Source organism: Homo sapiens, chromosome 1, assembly GCF_000001405.40.
Source record: "Homo sapiens chromosome 1, GRCh38.p14 Primary Assembly".
NCBI classification, from domain to species: domain Eukaryota; kingdom Metazoa; phylum Chordata; class Mammalia; order Primates; family Hominidae; genus Homo; species Homo sapiens.
Genome location: NC_000001.11, coordinates 204,914,847 through 204,934,293, shown reverse-complemented (window position 1 = coordinate 204,934,293; position 19,447 = coordinate 204,914,847). Strand labels below are relative to the sequence as shown.

Sequence of the window (19,447 nt, the reverse complement as noted above, 5' to 3'; positions counted from 1 at the left end):
CCACCTCTACCTGGACCAGCCCCAGCTTCTGCATGGATCTGCCCTTGACCATGAAATGCTGCTCTCCCCAGAACTTCCAAACTCTTCTCAACTGGCTCTCTGCCTCAGCAGAGAAACATCTTCAAGTTTCTCTCATCTGTTTTTTTTTTTTTTTTTGAAATGGAGTCTCACTCTGTCGCCCGGGGTGGAGTGCAATAGCGTGATCTCAGCTCATTGCAACCTCCGCCTCTTGGGTTCAAGTGATTTTCCTACCTCAGCCTCCCGAGTAGCTGGGATTACAGGCACCTGCCACCACGCCCAGCTAATTTTTGTATTTTTAGTAGAGACAAGGTTTCACCATGTTGGCCAGGCTGGCCTCGAACTCCTGACCATAGATGATCCACCCACGTTGGCCTCCCCAAGTGCTGGGATTACAGGCGTGAGTCACCATGCCCAGCCTCTCCTATCTTATAACAAAAAGATCCTTCTCTGTATCCCACAGCCTCCCTATATATGCATACTAGAATTTTTTTCTCCATCTCTTCTCTTCTGAAAGCTTTTTTTTTTTGGCTTCTTCCTTTCCCATTCACTCCTCATGCTCCTCTAACTCTCCTCTCCTGACCTCCCACTGGCTGAATCTAGTGTTCTCAGTCTTTATTTTGCCAAACCTCCTGGAGGTATTAAAAATTGTTAACCACTCCATTTATCCTAATATTCTTTCTTCCTTGGCTTCTGAGACATCACTTTGAGGCCCCATCTTGGGTCTGGCATTTATAGCCTCCATGGTGACACTGATCCCATGGCCGGATTCTCTTCTTCTGCCTAAAATTCAGTGTCTCCATTGGGGTCATGTGCCCCATCTCCAGTCCCCATCTTTGTTGGTGGTACCCACCCAAGTCATTCAAGCCAGACACCTGGGAATTGCCCTTACAACCCACCCCTTTTCATAGCCCATACCCAGGCATCAAGGCCCTCAGACTGTCTACTTCCCAGTGTTGCTTATTCTCCATCTCCCCCGCATTCTCCCCATCTCACCTTTCACATACATGTCTCATACACTACGGCAATAACCTCCTAGTTGGTCTCCTCCATCCAATCCATTCTCCATGCTGCTATTCCAGTGACTTTTCTAAACACCTGATCTGATCATGTCAGTGCTCCTCTGAAAACCCTTTCATATCATCCCATTAATCTATAAGATCAGACCCATACTTCTGAGTGCAGCACTCAAGGTTTTTGGAGATCAGGCTCCTGCAGGTCTCTCCAACTGCCCCCGCTACCCTCCCACCACCAACCCCAAATGCTTTTTAACTGCATGCTGTAGCACACCATCTGTGCCTCCATACCTTACACATGTGATCCCCTGTGCCTGGAAGGATCTTTCCTCCTTCCATGTGATCAATTCCTACTCAGTCTTCAAGACTCTGCTCAGACATCTGCCGAGTGAAGAATCCTGCACTCCTGCTGTGCCACTCAACCACAAATCTACCTCTCTGGGGCATGTGGCACACTGCGGTAAAACTATGTTTAAACTAAGGGTGGGAAACATCTGTAAACGTCCAGATAGTGACTATCTTAGGCTTTGTGAGGCACGCACTTTCTGTCACGACTACTGAACTTTACCTTCGCAGTGTGAAAGCAGCCACAGACAGTGAGTGAACAGGCGTGTCTCAGTTCCAATAAGACTGTATTGACAAAAACAGGCAGATATTGGTCTGGACCTGGCCCAGAGGCTGTAGTTTGCTAACTTCTGACTTAATCTTTCTCCCCACTTTGTGAAATTCTTTTTTTTTTTTAAATGCCTTTTGCAAACGCTGTCAATCTTAGTGAAATTCTTGAGGCTGACACCGTGTCCTGTTCATTCCTGTGTGCCGAGTGGCCAGCATAGTCCCTGGCAAGGAATATTTATGGAATGGAAGATCCAGGTAAAGGTTTCAATCCTGCCTCTTATCTTTTACAAATTACTTGTTTTCCAAGCCTTTAAAAAATCTCAAAAATGGAAATAAATATTACTGCATTACTGACTTTTTCAGATGGTTGTTATAAGAACTAAATAAAATACTGCACAGGAACATAAAGCTGTTTTTACTTTTTCTTAGTGCATTCCTTCCTGACAAACTCAAGTGACGTCACTAAAAGCAAGACCTTTATGTTTTCTCTGAATATAGGGTAAACCTGACCCAACGGAGACCTATATTCTGCCTCTCAGGGGCTGGTCTGGGGCTTAGCTGCAGGCCACACTCTGCCTTATAGTATCCCCTTATTCTGGGAGTGAAGCCCAGAGTGAGGTTGCTCAGCCCATGTCTCCTCTCCCGCTTCACTTCACTTGCCTTCTTCCAGATTCCACAGGTGGCCCTGGTCAGAGTGAGAGAGAAAAGGGGAGATCATGATAGAAGGATGGTTTAATGTTCTCCAAAGCCTGTTGAGGACTGTTTTTGTGTTAGAATAGGATCTGATGACTGACCGGTAGTAGAAGCAAGAAGAAGGATGGCATCAAGGTTTCTAGCTTGGGAAACTGGACTAGGATGACTCTAATAATTGACACCAAGAACACAGAAGGGAGAGTGAGTCTGGTAGTCACTGGGATGCAGGGAGATCACAAGCATGGAACAGAATATATTCAGTTTGAAATGTCTAAGAGCCATGAATGAAACAGTTCGTCAGGTATTCCAAGGTTGTGCACATGAGTTAGTGCCTAGGGATACACCAACAGATTACTGCTACCAAGGCCACATGCCAGCAATTAGTTCTTAGAATAAACTAGTCAAGTGACTAGAATAGTACTACAAGAACCAAGGGAGAAATACATTCACACATCACTGCCACAGGAAATTGTTGGGGAACAAAGAGATAATAAAAGCCCAACAGAGCCAATGCAAAACTCAGCCATTCTGCATTGGGATAAAAAAATGTAGCAGGGCTTATCACTACAGCTGCCTGGAAACAACTTGTTCAGGACTGAGAGAGAGGAGCTGAAATAGGAGGAAATAGAAGTATACAAAATTAAGGAGTATGCATGTGGGTACACGGGAGATCTGAAAAGAGCTCAGATTTATCCCTCATTGGGATGGAGGGTTCCATGTGGACAGGCAGCAGCTCCTTTTAGTTGGAACTAATGATCATATGTATTTGTCAAGAAATTTGTTCCTAATACAAAGTAATAATGTTTGCAGAGCAGCTCAGGTTATTAACATTATAATAACTACATTCTCATTCATATTCTTTTTTTTTTCTTCTTCTTAAAGAATAAGGAGCCAGTGTGTGTCCTGCCTGGGCCTAGCCTCTATTACATTTGTCATCCAGGACAACTCCAGGATTTGTCCAGAAAAAGTCATCCAGGAATCTGAGGGATAAAATCTGCCTTCTCAGAGCAGCCCTCAAGCCCTGGTATGACCCAGCTCCTGACCCCTGTGTGGCTTCTCCTCTCCCAGCATCTGCCCTCCTATATCCCCACACCAGCCTCCAGGCCTGTATAGGCCACGTGCTTTCTGCACCTCCTGCCATCTCTGCTCCCACTTTGCTGACGCCAGAAATGCTATTCTCTTCCTTCTCCACAGTGCAAATTCCCTTTTTGCCAAGGCCCTAAGTGGGCCACCCCTCCACAACAGGGTTGCTGCCTTCCCATTGAAAGTGGGTGGCAGTTTCTCTTGTGCTTCCTAGCATGCCCCATGCTCTGTTCCACTGGTCATTTCCTCCTGCCTCATGGGATGAGTTTATTCCCAAATCCATCTCCTGCATCAGACTCTGATGTTAAGCTCAGAGTCCATGTCTTGTCTCTCCTGAGACAGTACAATAAACACACGTGGGATGAGTGGACAGACATCCTATCAGATACTTCCTATTACTGGGAGATATTTTAATAGCTCATCAATGAATCAGTACAATAAATCCTTGGTTGCTATAACACGGGATAGATCTGTTGTACAGTATAAGCCTGAGTAATAACAACAAAAGCAATAACCTAACAATAACATCTAACCAGCATCCTGTCCCTGTAGCAGAGCCTGCCCCGGCTCTGCAGACATGCTCATCTTTCTTTCTCAAATCTCCCCCTGCTGACTCTCAGAGCTTTCTGTCTGACCTGTCAGGGCCACACTCAATGTCACCCTATTTGCTCCACTCTACAGACTCTCAGAATTGAGGGATTCAGACACCCCAGGCAGCAGCCTCAGAATCAACAACACCTCCATTCTCAGTCTCTTCCTTTCTCTTTCATCCTGAGGCTCTGGCTTGGCTGCACTGGGTTCTGAAATCTGCCTTCAGCCCAGGGATCGGCTAGGCATGACTGAGGGCCACCGTCCGCCACTTCCCCTCCTGCCCTCTGATCCCCATGGCCACCTCCCTTCCATCTCTCCCATGCCAAGGAAGGAACGATGCAACAGATGGTGACCCAGCCGTGTTCCATTCCTTCCAGCTCACAGGCATCTGAAGGCCAGAACTATGAGTCTCCTAGGAAACTCAAACTGCCCCCTATTGATGCCTAGCCCATCCCAAAGAGACAGAACACCAAGCAAGTGGAGAAAGAGGGATCTCTGGAAGAAAATAAGATTAGAAGGGGAAGAGGCAGGGAGGGACTCCCCAGCTCCCATTCCCCAGGGAGCGACTCCCCAGCTCCCATTCCCCAGGGAGCACCTGCCACAGAATTACATCTCACCATATCTCTTCTTTACCCTGGATGAAATGACCCCATGTCTCAGCAACTTCTAAGAAAGTCAGTCTGCCCACACAATCCTCCCACCTCCCCTTTTAGAAGAGGCAGTAACTATACCAAACTCTCCAGGGCAGGACTTGGCAGCAGAGGAAAGCACTCACCAGCCTGCTTCAGGACCTCGGCCTCCCCCACACTCAGGGAGAGAAACCCAGCTTCCTGGCCGGTGTGGGGTCAACCAGTCATTGTCTTCTAGAATTTTCACTTAGCCCAGGAAACCCTGTATATGGGATTTGACTCCCTGCTTCCCCCTCCTCCCTCCTCAGGGTTGGATGGGGGTGGTCTCCATCTGCTCACTGGCTGTGTTTCACGCTTGGCTCCCCTTCATTGTCAGGGGCAGAGATCTGGGAGGAGTGAGGGGCTGTGTGTTTAACCATTGATAGCACTCAGCAGGCCTAGCCTGTCTTTCCCTGCCTTGGCTAAGTTCACATGGGTCAGGGGGATGGGGGAGGGAAATGGTATCAGGTGGTCCTGATTCCCTCCTGGGGATGGGGTGGAGGGGGACACCTGGTTTTAGGATTAGGGATTTGGCTGAAAAACAGCTGTTTCCTGCTCAACACTCGGAACTAATCTATAGGTTGAAACCTAAACCTCTTGGCTATTATTAAGCTGGGGAAGAGGGAAGGGCTGGGAAAGAAGAAAGGGACTTTTCCCTCTAGGTGACCACCATGAAGATCTAATGAATACCTCGTATTCACACCAGGCTCTCTAGGGCGAAAACTCTTTATGAGGCGCCATGTTATTCATAAGCCACCAGCAGGACCAGAGCCCCACAAAAAGCCTGAACCCACCAATAAAGTGCAGCCACTTCTAGGGTGGGAGGTGCCTGCATCTCACTGCCACACCACAACTAGCTGGGTTATCAAGCCATATAGCTTGGACACAGAGACGTCTGTGTTCTTTGTTGTAACTCCATTGTGTGGGACTGCCACAAATCTTTTAACCATCCACTTGTTATGGACCTTTAAGTTGTTTTTCTTTATTTTCCCCCCTATTACAACAATGGTACAACTCACGTCATTGTATTTATATCCTTGTATATGGAGAAAATGTGGTTGCTGCTTCATGCTGTCTCTTTGACCCAAGGCCCACTAACTGGAGCTTGGCACATTGCAGCCTGGCACAGCAAGGAAGCCCAAAGTGCATAGGTGTCCCTGGTCTACAGCCCAGCTTTGTCGTTGACACCCACACCACACAGACTGGCAGTCAATGGATACACTGGGGAGGACATCGCCGACTCTACAATCCAGCCAGCTTTCTACGGGTCTTTGGGGCTGTGGGGTTTTTCCTCATTACTGCTTACTCATTCATGCTCCTAGGGGCAGGACTAGGGAACATGCATGAAATGGAAAAGATGCTCAAATGTAGTCGGTATACCCTCCTGATTAGCTGACCCAACACCCTGTGAAGGGCTGGCTTAAATAAGATTTGTGGATTATCTGTGAGTGGATGTATTCAGGCCCTACTAGTCACTGACAGCCTGACCAGTCTCCTGCCATACAAAGATTAGCAGGTAAAACAGGATGTAAAGAAAACAAGTTAAGGTGTTACCACTAGGGTGTATTGCCTGCCTCCACCTGCTGAAAAGCAAGAAGCGAACTCCCCCCTCTGGGGAGGAATTCCGATCCCACCACCACGGAGAAGAGCCCCCACCTCTCTACAATTCAAGAACCCAGCTTCTCACTTGCCTTGGCTCCCTGTCTGCTCCCCTCAGGGAGGAAGTTTTCACAGCAATTAGACACACATCCTTCTTCACAGCTGGAGGGAGAGGCTTGTGAAGTTACCCCACCCCCTCCCGGCTCCAAGTGGGTGGAGAAGGCGTGGGGTATCAAGGTGTCAGGCAGCAGCTGTCTCCAGGGGCTCTGTCATTAAAGAAGAGTGGTCAGAGGGAGGGGGATGGTGAGGTGGGGAGTGATAATCTTGTGTGACAGGTCCCTAAGGGTGGGGACCCAAGATTTGGGAAGGCTAAGGAGGAGGGACCCAGGTGGTAGAGAGTATTTTTTATAGAGTATACTTTTGTAGAGTATAAAAATACTTCAGGAGCTGAAGGTAGAAGTCCAGAAAGGGGCCTTGGAATTAGCATTAAAAGGTCTAGGGATCTTCAAAAGGTCAAACACAGACCTACAGTATGACCCAGTAATTCCATCAGATGAATAAGCAAAATGCAGTATATCTACACAGAGGAATATCATTCAGCCATAAAAAGAAATGAATTACTGATGTGGGGAACTCTCAAAACATCTTGCTAAGGAAAAGAAGCCAGACACAAAGACCGCATATTGTATGATTCCATTTATATGAAATGTCCAGAATAGGCAAATCTCTAGAAAATAGATCAGTGGTTGCCTAGGGCTGGGGGTGGAGGTGGGGAAGAGGAGTGACTAACAATGGCATAGATTCTTGCGGGGGCTGGGAGTGGCGATAAAAATGTCCTAAAATCCATTGTGATGATGGCTGCTCAAGTCTATGGGCACTAAAAATCACTGAATTGTATCATCCATCCATCTATCTATCTATCATCTATCTATTTTTGAGATGGAGTCTCCCTCTGTCATCCAGGCCAGAGTGCAGTGGCGCCATCTCGGCTCACTGCAACCTCTGCCTCCAGGGTTCAAGCGATTCTCCTGCCTCAGTCTCCCGAGTAGCTGGGAATACAGGCACCCGCTGCCGTGCACCAGCTAATTTTTATATTTTTAGTAGAGACGGGGTTTCACCATGTTGACCAGGCTGGTCTCGAACACCTGACCTCAAGTGATCCACCCGCCTCAGCCTCCCAAAGTGCTGGGATTACAGGTGTGAGCCACTGTGCCCAGCCTGAATTCTATAATTTATATAGTAAATATTATAACATGAATTGTATCTCAATAAAGCTGTCATTTAAAAATAGTAATAAGGCAAGGCACTGTGGCTCACGCCTGTAATCCCAGCACTTTAGGAGGTGGAGGTGGGTGGATTGTTCAAGTCTAGGAGTTCAAGACCAGCCTGGGCAACATGGCAAAACTTCATCTCTATAAAAAACACAAAAATTAGCCGGGCATGGTGGCGCGCAACTGTGGTCCCAGCTACTCAAGAGGCTGAGACGGGAGGATCACTTGAGCCCAGGAAGTTGAGGCTGCAATGGGCTGAGATTGTGCCACTGCACTCCAGCCTGAACAACAGTGAGACCCTCTCTCAAAAAAAAAAAAAAAAAAAAAAAAAAATATATATATATATATATATATATATACATGAAAAAAGAATTACATAAGGACTTGGAAGCCTTTGTTAGAAAAAAAACTGTGATACTTTGAAAAGGAAAATGGATAAATTTACACATACAGTTTCAAATGTTCAAAGGAATTAAATTAACTAAGTTTATTAATAAAACCAAGTAAGTGATTGCTAAAATCTATAAGATTCATGAAGAAAATTGTAAAATTTGTTGATTGAGGTAAAAAGTTTAAGGAATAATTAGGTTTGGGGATTTGTAATTTTAATACATTGAAGATTGGTTAATTAAAAAAAAAAAAGACCTAGGGCTAAGATCTTGTATGTCACCTTGAGCAAGTCACAAACTGTCTGGTCTCTATCTCCACAGTAAATTATAAAATGCTGTACAAAAGGAAGGTGGCTCTAGAATGGCCAGAAACCTCTCCCTCCCTGAGCAGCTTTCCCAAGAGATATCTGTGCGACTCCACCAGCCATCCTTATCTCCAACCCCAGCTTCCTCACCCTGGGCCCTGCCAAGCTCCCTAAGTGGGCTGTCCATTTGAAATCCAGACCATTGTCCATCTGAGGACCCACCATCTGGACACATCTGCTCATGACATCACTCAAATCAAGCTGCTTATTCTGTCCTCTATTGGGTGGATTGCAAGCCTAGTTTCAACAGACCATAGTCCTAAAGCCATTTGAAAACCATAGGCTGAGCTTGAGCAGGGAAAGAAAGAGGGGCAAGACTGTAGCAGAAGAAACTTGGGTTGGGGAAAAGAGAGATGACTTTCAGTCTCTTAGCCAGATTATGAGCTTCTTGAGGGCAAAGGAAGAGCCTTTTACTTTTTCTTTGGCCCTTCACAGAAGTGAGTATTAACTCAAAGCAGAACAGGGCTGGGCTTAATAAACTGGTGAATGACAAACCACTAGCTGGGAAGCCATGCAGACCAGGGGAAACATACCAGACAAGATGCAGAGATTTAGTCTCACAAGGAAGCATGTTTAATCCAGCTGGCACATGTGACTTGCAGCCACACACACCTGAGTTTCCCTCCCACCTAGCCATTTACCTGCTACATGGTCTTCCGCGGTTTATTCTCTCTCTCTGTTTTCTTATGTTTAAAAGTGGGATAAATGCACTTATTTATTACAAGGTTGCTGTGACAATTCCTAAATGAATTAATGAGCTAATGTACATGTATAGCACCTAATCCAAGGCCTGGCACATAGCTGGCATTCAAAAACTATTGGTCCTTTCTTCGCCTGTAATCCCAGCACTTTGGGAGGCTGAGGCAGGTGGATCATGAGGTTCAGGAGTTCAAGACCAGCCTGGCCAACACAGTGAAACCCTGTCTCTATTAAAAATACAAAAATTAGCCAGCCATGTGGCGGGCACCTGTAATCCCAGCTACACGAGAGGCTGAGGCCGGAGAATCACTTGAACCTGGGAGGTGAAGATTGCAGTGAGCCCAGATTGCACCACTGCACTCCAGCCTAGGTGACAGAGCAAAACTCCATCTCAAAACAAAACAAAACAAAGCAAACAAAATAAACGATTGGCCCTTTCTCCTCTCCCCCAAGTTACAGCTGGTATACTGATTTGCGATAAGGCTTTGGACAAGATGGGGTTTCACATCTACTTTGTAGATCTACAGTGTAGACGATGCCTGTGCAGACACCATACCCTAGCTCTATACCTAAGGAATTATTGTTTACTCTTAGAGCCAACAGATGGTTATCTGCACAGGCAGTCTACTTTAGACCAGAGAGGAAGGGAGGCTCCTATAAAATCCCAGGCCAGCCAAATCCCCTCTGGGCTCCCCTCTCTCCTGCCTTTGCCATGGTTTCTACAAGCAAAGCACTCCACCCCAGCTTCTTCCACCAATGTCCCACCAGCTCTGACATCCACCAAACAGCTGGAGTCAGCCCCAGAGAGGGAGCTGGGTCTTCTGAATTGACATCAATTCAGCTGCCAATATTGGTTTAGCTGCTGATATTTCAAGGACAGCACATCCCCGGTTGCATTTTTTAAATTCCTGTCTGATGTGATAAGCGGGAGCATAGAGAGGAAAGAACTAAGACAGCAGGAGGGAGCAGCACCTGTTCCTTCTCTCCCTCCCTGCAGCCTTCTGCATTTACATCCCATACAGACATCAGTCTGGATCCAACTGCTATCCTGGCAGGCTTCTACAGGCTGGAGGAGATGTGAAAATACAGGAGGCATGGGGGAGGGGAGGTGGGAGCAAAAAGGGGGAGGCAGCCAACAGAATGAGGATTTTCCTGAGTTATAAGATGCACCATTTGTCTAGAAGTCTGGTTGCAAAGCGCTGGCGGCTGCAAGTGCTTATACCAAAGACTCTTAGCTCCAGTGGTGTGGAGGAAACCTTGCTGTCTTATGCCCTAGAAGGGCCTCCCTTTGCTAGAGCATATGGTCCTCTTATTAGAAACTCACAGGTGACATGCTGTTTCAAACAGCCCAGCCTCTGGTGGAAAGGTGGGCTTGGCGAGGCAGCAGGAAAGGCTGAGAGGGGTCTAGACATGATTGCATCACTGCAGCAGAAAGGAGGTAAACAGCACAAGCTATTAGGGCAGTAGCTTTCACCGTTGACACTCATGTACCCCACACTTACCCTACAGGTCTCGGTGCCCACAGGAAAATGGGGCTAAGCATGGGGGCTGCCTCAGGTGCCTGCCTCAGGGGCCTGAAATCGGTTTGGGGGCAGCAGGTGGGGAAGACAGTTCCTAATGAAGCTCCATGGTCCCACCCTCAGTGATCCACAGTTGTGTGTCCTGGGCCCATGCTGTCCAAGGGGGCCTGTGTCAATGTTTCTGGAGAGAGGAGGCCCAGCTTCTCTCTGACAGGCAGAGGGACTTAGGAGTGTGAGTGCAATTAATCAAATAGATCCTTTTGGGAAATTGAAGGCCTGGGGAAGCTCAGTGGTTTCTCTGCCTTGCATCAGAGGGCCAGTGTCTGCTTCCCGTGATGGGAGGTGACAAGGAGTGGACGTACTGGGGATGGCGGGAGGGAAGGGGAGAGACGAAGCCTGAGCTTGGAGGGTGCTGCATGCTGGAGTGGGAGGAGGAGGGAGGGGCGGCTCAGGAGCAGACGCTTGGGGCAGCTCCATATGGCAGTGGCTTCCAACAAAGGGAGAAGACGCAGATAAACGGAGGGCTTCCTCCTTAGGCGGTTTCAGAGCTCACACCTGCAGCCCCGGGGAACACTTGCTCAGAAACAGCTACGCAGTGTTTCCAGTGAATCTTGGAATGAGCCACCCTAAATACACAGCCAGCCCCAAACCCAAATGGTTGCCACACAGGTGCCAGAGTTGGACCACAGGATTTGAATCCAGGCCCTTTCTTAGATGGGGGGCTTTGGGCAAGTTCCTTAACCTCTGTGGACTTTTATTCTGCCATCAGTAAAACACGGGTAATAATGGGCCCTACTTCATGGGGCCACTGTGGGAGGATGGAGCGCAGGGCACAGTGCCTGGTGCACGGGGAGTGCTGAGATGCTGATTATTATAATGATGACGATTATCATCATCTAAAGAAGCCTGGGTCAGCTTCCCTTCTCTCAGAACTTACTGTACGCTCAACAGCCGTATGTCCTGCTGGCAAGCAGTCTCTGCAGTCTTATGTCTTTTTTAAGGTTCCTCTGTGTGTCTGAAAGTCCTTTGATAGGTACTCCCCCTTCATGATTTGTGGGTGCCTCAGACTGGAGGAGGCAGTGTGATATCACAGCGAGAAAAACAGTCTACAATTCAGCGCATCCAAGCCTAGGAGGGGCTCTTTTGCTAATTAGTTTTGCGAAACCTTGGGGGAAATAACTTCTCAGAGAGCCTTAGTTTATTCACCAATCAAATGGGAATGATGACAGCAGCCTTGCTCATATCACTGAATTGTGTTGACAGTCAAATGACACAATTAATGTAAATGGAAACACTATTAAAAGGATTAAGCTCAGAACCGATATTCGATTTTGCTGGTTAGACTGGTGGTGTCCAGAAGTACGAGCCAGAACGAATCTATTCTGGTCAGGCAGGAGGTGGCAGGGCACGACTCCAGGGCAGCCATATCTGCTGTCGGACAGTGAGGCTGCTGTCATCAGAGAAGCCAGCCCCCGGGGTTCCTTAGGTGGGGATCTGGTCAGGTTACCTAGAGTGAATGTTCAGAGAGAGCTGTGGAGGGACAGGGATAGAGAGTGGGAAGGGTGCATGGGAAAGTGCCAAGAGCGGGGACTTGGTGACACAGAGCTGCATTAACTACCCGATTCTGTCCCCATCCAGTTTCATATATACTTCGTACCCGTTTAAATAAATGGGTACACCGCTTTTGCAATCATACTCCTCCACGTGTAGTAAAAGAATGGCATGCACCCCCTGCCCGCGCCACCCCTGCCAAAACACACACTGTCAGTCAGTATGTTCAAGTTCAATGTTTAGTAACAATGACAGGGTGAAAAAGCCCTAAGGTCAGAGGAATTTCCCAGGTGGTCTCTGAAACCTGACACTGTTCTGAGATAAGTGGTGGCCCTAAAGGGCCCACACAAGAAACTACCTTGATAAAAAAAAAAACTATATCTGAATTGCCATTGATATGAGAAATCATAATAACCCTCATTGATTAAATGAGCCAGGCACTCTGCAGGGCTCTTCATCTGTTTATATATTTACTCTTTAATCTTTACCACAAAATGTTGGTTATTATCCCTGTTGTACAAACTAGGAAACTGAGGCCTAGAGGGGTTCAGCGTTCCCAAGGTCACAAAGCAAGTGGATCTGGAATTCCAGCAGATGTGTCTGGATCCCAAGTCCATGTCGTCGGCACTCTCAGCTTCCACTTTTCAACCCTCTCCACGCCCCTCCCCCCAGCTCCAACTCTTTCTGGGAGGAAAAAAGACAACAAGAGAGTGAGGTGGAGTGAGAAAGACACCTTCGATGAGGTAGAGATGCCCAAACTCAAAGAATAAGGAAATTTTGCCCTGCTCAGGCCTCCAGCCCAGACCCTCTCAGCCCAGCAGCCTCCAGGAGGCCAGTCTGTCACTACTGCCCGTTACTGCTCTGTTAAAATTGCAGCCCTCAGTTGTCACATGTCCTCCCCGGCTACCAGGGCCTGAGAGTAAAACAGGAGTTGCTGGGAGTGGCAGCAAAATCTAACCCGGAATGGAACAAGGCAGACCCTGGGCACAGGGCATGGCTAAGTGCTGTGGGCCTTGGCTGCTTACTGCGCCTGGATAACTGTCCATCTGCCAGGGCCCAATGCCCCGCCCAGGGCAGGGGTTCTTGGACTGTCTCCCATATGCCAGGGCTGTCACTCAGGAGCATCCAGGTTGTAGAGGCCGAGACTAAGTAGGGTGTGGGTCACAAAGTTGTTTCCCAATTTTTCAATTAGGTGGACATTGGGACAATGCCAGCGCTAATGTTGGCTGACTGTCCCTGCCAGGGAAGGCTTAAACGCTACCCTCACCAGCCTCCTTGCAAGGAGAACTTTGGCATGCAGTTCTGTGGCAACTCAGGGCTTCTATCTCTGGGGAGAAGAAAGGAGATGCCTCTCAGAAGATTCCTGGGGCCAGGCAAACAGGCTTCCCTTATCAAAGAGAAGGGGCAGGAGGCGAGAATGTCCCCTCATTCTCACCCCTCCAATGACACATACCCCAGGCCCAAGTCCTGCTTACCTTCTCTGCCTCATTCAGCCTCTTCCTTGCAACACCAGAGGAGGCTCTGTTCCAGGCTGCGGAGGGAAGGTAAACTCCAGCGTCCCAAATTGCACATAAGTCAATCAACCTGTCTCAAGCAAGCACAAAGGAGAACCCCAGGGTTACTCTAAGAAAGGAAGAAAAAAAAAAGCCTTTGTGGTTTGCAGCTTGCTCATTCACTGGGGAAATTACATTTTTGTCCACATCCATTGGTAAAGTTTTGCATAGCATAACAGCATCTTTGTTCAAAGAAGTTCAAAGCACTCTGGAAGAAAAAAAAAAAAAAAAAAAAGGACAGATCCTGCAAGGGTGATTGTCTCTCTTATCTGTAAGATCATTTCTTAGTGCCCTGACACCACAGTCTAATTGCTGATTCCCTATTCACCACAAGAAGTTCAGCCATACCTCGAAGAATCTCTCCTCCACCAGGGGAGAATTTACCCATAATCATCTCATTAATTTTTTAGCTTCCTAGGAGAACTATGTTTTTCTTCTCTGTCTACAGATAAACAAACCAAGCTCACCATAAATAAATCCATAACACATTAAAAGGGGACCCAATTTTAGGGTCAGGAGATGCAAATTTTAAATCCTAGCTTGTTATGTCATTTAGAGTAGGACACTTCTCTATGTGTGACTCAATTTCTTAATCTGTAACATGGGGAGAAGGCATGATAGACAGGATCAGATCATTAGTTAGCAGGGTTCAAGACCAGTTCTGAACAATCATATAACCTTTCTTGGTAGCAATAACATATTCCATTTAGTCATTTGTTATAACATTAGAATGTGTCTGCAGGAGGCTGGGCATGTTGGGTCACACCTGTAATCCCAGCACTTTGGGAGGCCAAGGAGGGTGGATCACTTAAGGTCAGGAGTTTGAGATCAGCATGGCCAACATGGTGAAACCCTGTGTCTACTAAAAATACAAAAATTAGCCGGGCACACCTGTAGTCCCAGCTAGTCGGGAGGCTGAGGCAGGAGAATGGCTTGAACCCGGGAGGCAGAGGTTATAGTGAGCCAAGATTGCGCAACTGCACTCCAGCCTGGGCAACAGAGCAAGACTCCATCTGCCCCCCAAAAAAAGTGTCTGCAGGAAATGGTATAATCCACTCTTGTAGAGGGGAATGTGGCAATAGCTATCTAAATAAGTATGCATTTACTCTTTGACCCAACAATCCCAATTCCAGGAATCTATTTAAAATATATCCTATATACCTACAATCTCCAAGGTTCTTGTTAAGTGAAAAACACATGATAGAAAATAATGTTTAATATGCTACCATTTATTTAGGAAAGAGAGGAGGAATGCAAAAATATATATGCATTTGCTTGTATTTTTAAAAAAGACAATAAAATGATGAAGCATAAAATACATTTTAAAAGACCTACAGGGGCCAGGTGCGGTGGCTCACGCCTGTAATCCTAGCACTTTGGGAGGCTGAGGCAGGCAGATTGCCTGAGCTCAGGAGTTTGAGACTACCCTGGGCAACATAGTGAAACCCCATCTCCACTAAAATGCAAAAAATTAGCCAGGCGTTGTGGCTTACACCTGTAATCCCAGCTACTTGGGAGGCTGAGGCATGAAAATCACTTGAATTGGGGAGGCAGAGGTTGCAGTGAACCAAGATCATGCCATTGCACTCTAGCCTGGGTGACAGAGCAAGACTCTGTCTCAAAAACAAACAAACAAAAAACCCTACAAGGAGAGGGAGACAAGAAGTGCAGGGGACAGACAGAAGTTGGACTTTGAACAGACCTTGTTACATGGATTTGCTTTGGACTATGTAAATATTTGACATAATTACAAAACATAATTAAAAAATTTCAAAGAGGGTGGGCACAGTGGCTCATGCCTATAATCCCAGCACTTTGGGAGGCCAAGGTTGGCAGATCACTTGAGGTCAGGAGTTCGAGACCAGCCTGACCAACATGGTGAAACCCTGTCTCTACTAAAAATACAAAAATTAGCCGGGCGTCATGGTGGGCACCTGTAATCCCAGCTGCTCGGGAGGCTGAGGCATGAGAATCGCTTGAACCTGGGAGGCAGGGGTTACAGTGAGCTGAGATCATGCCACTGCACTCCAGCCTGGGTGACAGGGCAAGACCCTATCTCAAAAAAAAAAAAAAAAAAAGTTTCAAAGAATTATGTAAAAATGAAGATAAAATGAAACAAATGAACCTTTGAGCCCAGTTGGTTGGCATACTACACATAGATTAAAACAATTGTAATTTGACTGCATATCCTTATCAGGGGTGTCCAATCTTTTGGCTTCCCTGTGCCACACTGCAAGAAGAAGAATTGTCTTGGGCCACACATAGAATACACTAACACTAAAAGGAGGTAAAATAAATTGCAAAAAAATCCATGTTTTGAGAAAGTTTATGAATTTGTGTTGAGCTGCATTTAAAGCCATCCTGGACTGCATGTGGCCTGTGGGCTGGACAAGCTAGCCTTAGATAGATGTACCACAAAGATAAAAAGAACTACCTTATGCCCCACAAGAAATCCTAAACTGTTTTCAATAACCATATTATTGATGGTACTATAATATTATTATTGTGAGATTTTATATGTTCATTGGGAATAAATCAAATGAGTAATACTGTTGATCTTGCTTGGAAACAAGATTTACTGGTTGAAAGGAGACACAAAAGTAAGATTAATGAGATTGCGTAAAAATTCTGTAGTCTTGGCTGTGAACTGGGAGTATCAGTATGTCCTTCATATGTTTTAGGTTAATCACACACACCTGTGCATGCACATTTCCTAGCTCTGTTCACTGTAAGGCCTAGAAACAATGACCATCCTAGTCAGAATGAGCACCTCTAGCAATCAGATTATGAATTCTAAATACCATTCCCGAAGAAGGAATTGGGCCTCCTTGGAGAAATGACTGACTCCAAATTTGATGCAGCAAACATACAAGATAAGCCTAAACATACTGTCATACCAAAAAAGCAAACAGAGTGTCAAAGACCAGTAGAGTCGTGTCAAAGACTAGTAGAGTCATGTCAAAAGGACTCAGAGACCAAGAAGAATAAGGTTTCCCTGGTCAAGCTGAGCATCAATAAAGATAATAACTGCAACAGGGAGAAACATAACAAATGTGTTTAAATCTATGAATTCCTAATAATATTTTAAAATAATCCTAAATAAGCCATTAGTCACATCTGAAGGATGTCAGGGAAATGCCTCACTACTTTGAAAACTGTTTAACAAAAGAAAGGGGGAAGTGGGTAGGGGCATAGGTGAAACAAGATTGGCCTTATATTGATAATTATTGACAAGGATGATGGATACATAAGTTTCATTATATTATTCTCTCCTCTTCCATAAAACATTTTCAAAGTAAAAAAATATTTTAAGTGATAGAACAGGTCAAGAAACAGGAAATCACTGGAATATTAATTCTTGAAATTCTTCTGAATGATAGACATTATAGACATTTAATCCTAACAGTAATCCAGTATGACATGATGTAGATATTATTATTATTTAGGAGATGAGGCCTTGCTCTGACACTCAGGCTGGAGTAGAGTGGCACGATCACAGCTCACTGCAGCCTTGACCTCCTGGACTTAAGTGATCCTCCCACTTCAGCCTCCCAAGTAGCTGGGCCCATAGGTATGTGTCACCACGCTTGGCTAATTTTGTTTATTTTTTGTAGAGATGAGGTCTCACTATGTTGCCCAGGTTGGACTTGAACTCTTGAACTCAAGCAATTCTCCCACCTTGGCTCCCAAAGTACTGGGATTATAGGCATGTGCCACCGTGCCCAGCCTGATATAGATATTATTATCCCCATTTTACACCTGAGGAAATAGGTGTAAAGAATCCATGTGATGCTGGACACAGTGACTCACGCCTGTAATCCCAGCACCCTGGAAGGCTGAGACAGGTGGATGGCTTGAGCCCAGCGGTTCGAGACCAGCCTGGGCAACATGGCAAAACCTTGTCTCTACAAAAAATAAAAATAAAAAAACAAAAAACAAACAAACAAAAAAAACAAAAAAGAATCCATGTGAGTCAAACCCACATGTTCTTATCTCAAAGGCCCACTATTCCACACAGTTGACTCTCCAATACCCTCATTGATATATCTGGGTTAATAAATCCTTCCTCACCTAGATGAGAGTGTCAGGGGACAGCAATGAGATAACACAGAGGAAAGTACTTGGAAAACAAAATCTTCGTACAAATATTTTACTGCCATTTAAAAATGAGAGATCAGATCTACCTATAGGATTGCTGTAGAGATCAAATGAGGGCTGTGATTTGAGGATAGATGGACAGATATATAGACAGACAGATAATCCTTAAAGATGAATGAAATCACAATTACCACCAGTGCTTTTATCACCAGTCATAGGACTTTAGGGTTAGTTAAAAGTGAAACTTAGAATCCAGGAAATAGACTGTCCCTCTGACTCAGGCATAGGAAGGTTCCAGGAAGGATACCTGATACTCCAGGGAGGACTAGAGACCAACAAGGCACCTGATATCTTCCAATTTGCAAGAAGAGCAGCTCTGGGTCACAGCAAGGAGGAGACCATGGTCAGTTTGCTAGGCACTTGGTTGCTGTCCCTAGATTCCAGAAGGTCAGATGAAGCAGCCACGCTGCAGACACCTCATTCGTTCCTCTGAATGAGGTCTGGGCTGGAAGCAAGGAGAGTAGGTGTGGAAGACACTCCCCAGCAACAAAGGCAGGACGCAGCATGTCGGACTGATGACAGGGAGTGTCTGGGGTTGCTAACCAGCTCCAACACTTCTTTCTTTCAGCATTCATATCTTAATGACTGTCTGGGGATTCTTTACAGATCATTCCTTAGCAAACGTTTATTCTCAGACTGTCCTTCCCTCTGCCACAAAGTATAAGCTGGTCCCGGGATCTCTTACACTTTCTCATCTTGGAATTCCCTAATTCCATAAGGGCGTATTTCTAAAGAAGCACACAATCAAAATTCTCCTGACTCGTGGTTCATGTGCCTCTACCCCTTGAATATTTAGACTGTGCTCAGGGCAAAAAGATCATTCTGTCTCTGTCTCTCAGGATTCTTACTTAAACATTTAAAAAATTATTTTACTTACTTTTTGAATAGTTAATCCCTTCACGTGATATGAAACTCAAATGATACAAAACTATATACAGTATACTTTTGAGATGAGCCTAGAACATCGTCCTCTCAAACCTGTCGCACAGCTTCCCAAGCTCCACTCATACCCTGTCCCTGGCCAACCAGTTACTAGTTTGTTGTATACCCTCCCAGAGAGTCTATGTAAACACATATACATATACATGTATTTTTAAAAATTCTAGCATACTATACATATTTTCCCCTACCTTGCTTTTTGCCATTAACAAATATCTTAGATATCTTTCTATATTCATTCATATAAAACTGCCTTGTTATTATTATTTTTATTTTTATTTTTTTGAGACAGAGTCTTGCTCTGTTGTCCAGGCTGGAGTGCAGTGGTGCTATCTTGGCTCACTGCAAGCTCTGCCTCCTGGGTTCACACCCATTCTCCTGCCTCAGCCTCCCGAGTAGCTGGGACTACAGGCACCCACCACCACGCCCGGCTAATTTTTTTGTATTTTTAGTAGAGACGGGGTTTCACCATGTTAGCAAGGATGGTCTCGATCTCCTGACCTCGTGATCCACCTGTCTCGGCCTCCCAAAGTGCTGGGATTACAGACAAAAGAGCCACCGCGCCCAGCGTGCCTTGTTATTTTAACAGTTCCATGGTATTCCATTGTATAAACAGATCATAATTTATTTACTTAATCCTCTACTGATAGACATTTAGGTTGCTTGTAATCATTTCATATAGAAAATTGCTACAATACATATCTTTGGGTAAATGTGAT

General features: G+C 45.8%; 1 protein-coding gene across 56 annotated transcripts in view, besides 3 other annotated features; it reads right to left on the bottom strand.

The window, feature by feature from the left end:
• NFASC (neurofascin) overlaps positions 1–19,447 on the bottom strand; it is a 194,171-nt gene that overhangs the window by 88,529 nt on the left and 86,195 nt on the right. For 49 of the 56 annotated variants that reach the window (NR_165492.1, XM_011509316.2, NM_001378329.1 and 46 more), the window contains one exon: positions 13,554–13,662. The exons of 6 other annotated variants lie outside the window; for them this stretch is intronic. Coding sequence is in view for 38 of the 50 variants with exons in the window: in XM_011509316.2 (XP_011507618.2) it covers positions 13,554–13,662 (109 nt within the window). In the remaining 12 variants the exon portion in view is untranslated. Of the gene's footprint in view, positions 1–13,553; positions 13,663–18,036; positions 18,225–19,447 lie in introns of those variants that run through there. One more of the 56 variants, XM_047449950.1, reaches the window with a different exon arrangement.
• Positions 9,436–10,135: an enhancer, noted in NCBI's record as "OCT4-NANOG-H3K27ac-H3K4me1 hESC enhancer chr1:204893287-204893986 (GRCh37/hg19 assembly coordinates)". NCBI's record gives its function as "activates a minimal SCP1, AML or CMV promoter by ChIP-STARR-seq in primed H9 embryonic stem cells {active_cell/tissue: H9 hESC(primed)}" and the evidence as "EXISTENCE:reporter gene assay evidence [ECO:0000049][PMID:30033119]".
• Positions 10,136–10,836: an enhancer, noted in NCBI's record as "OCT4-NANOG-H3K27ac-H3K4me1 hESC enhancer chr1:204892586-204893286 (GRCh37/hg19 assembly coordinates)". NCBI's record gives its function as "activates a minimal SCP1, AML or CMV promoter by ChIP-STARR-seq in naive H9 embryonic stem cells {active_cell/tissue: H9 hESC(naive)}" and the evidence as "EXISTENCE:reporter gene assay evidence [ECO:0000049][PMID:30033119]".
• Positions 11,537–12,237: an enhancer, noted in NCBI's record as "H3K27ac hESC enhancer chr1:204891185-204891885 (GRCh37/hg19 assembly coordinates)". NCBI's record gives its function as "activates a minimal SCP1, AML or CMV promoter by ChIP-STARR-seq in naive H9 embryonic stem cells {active_cell/tissue: H9 hESC(naive)}" and the evidence as "EXISTENCE:reporter gene assay evidence [ECO:0000049][PMID:30033119]".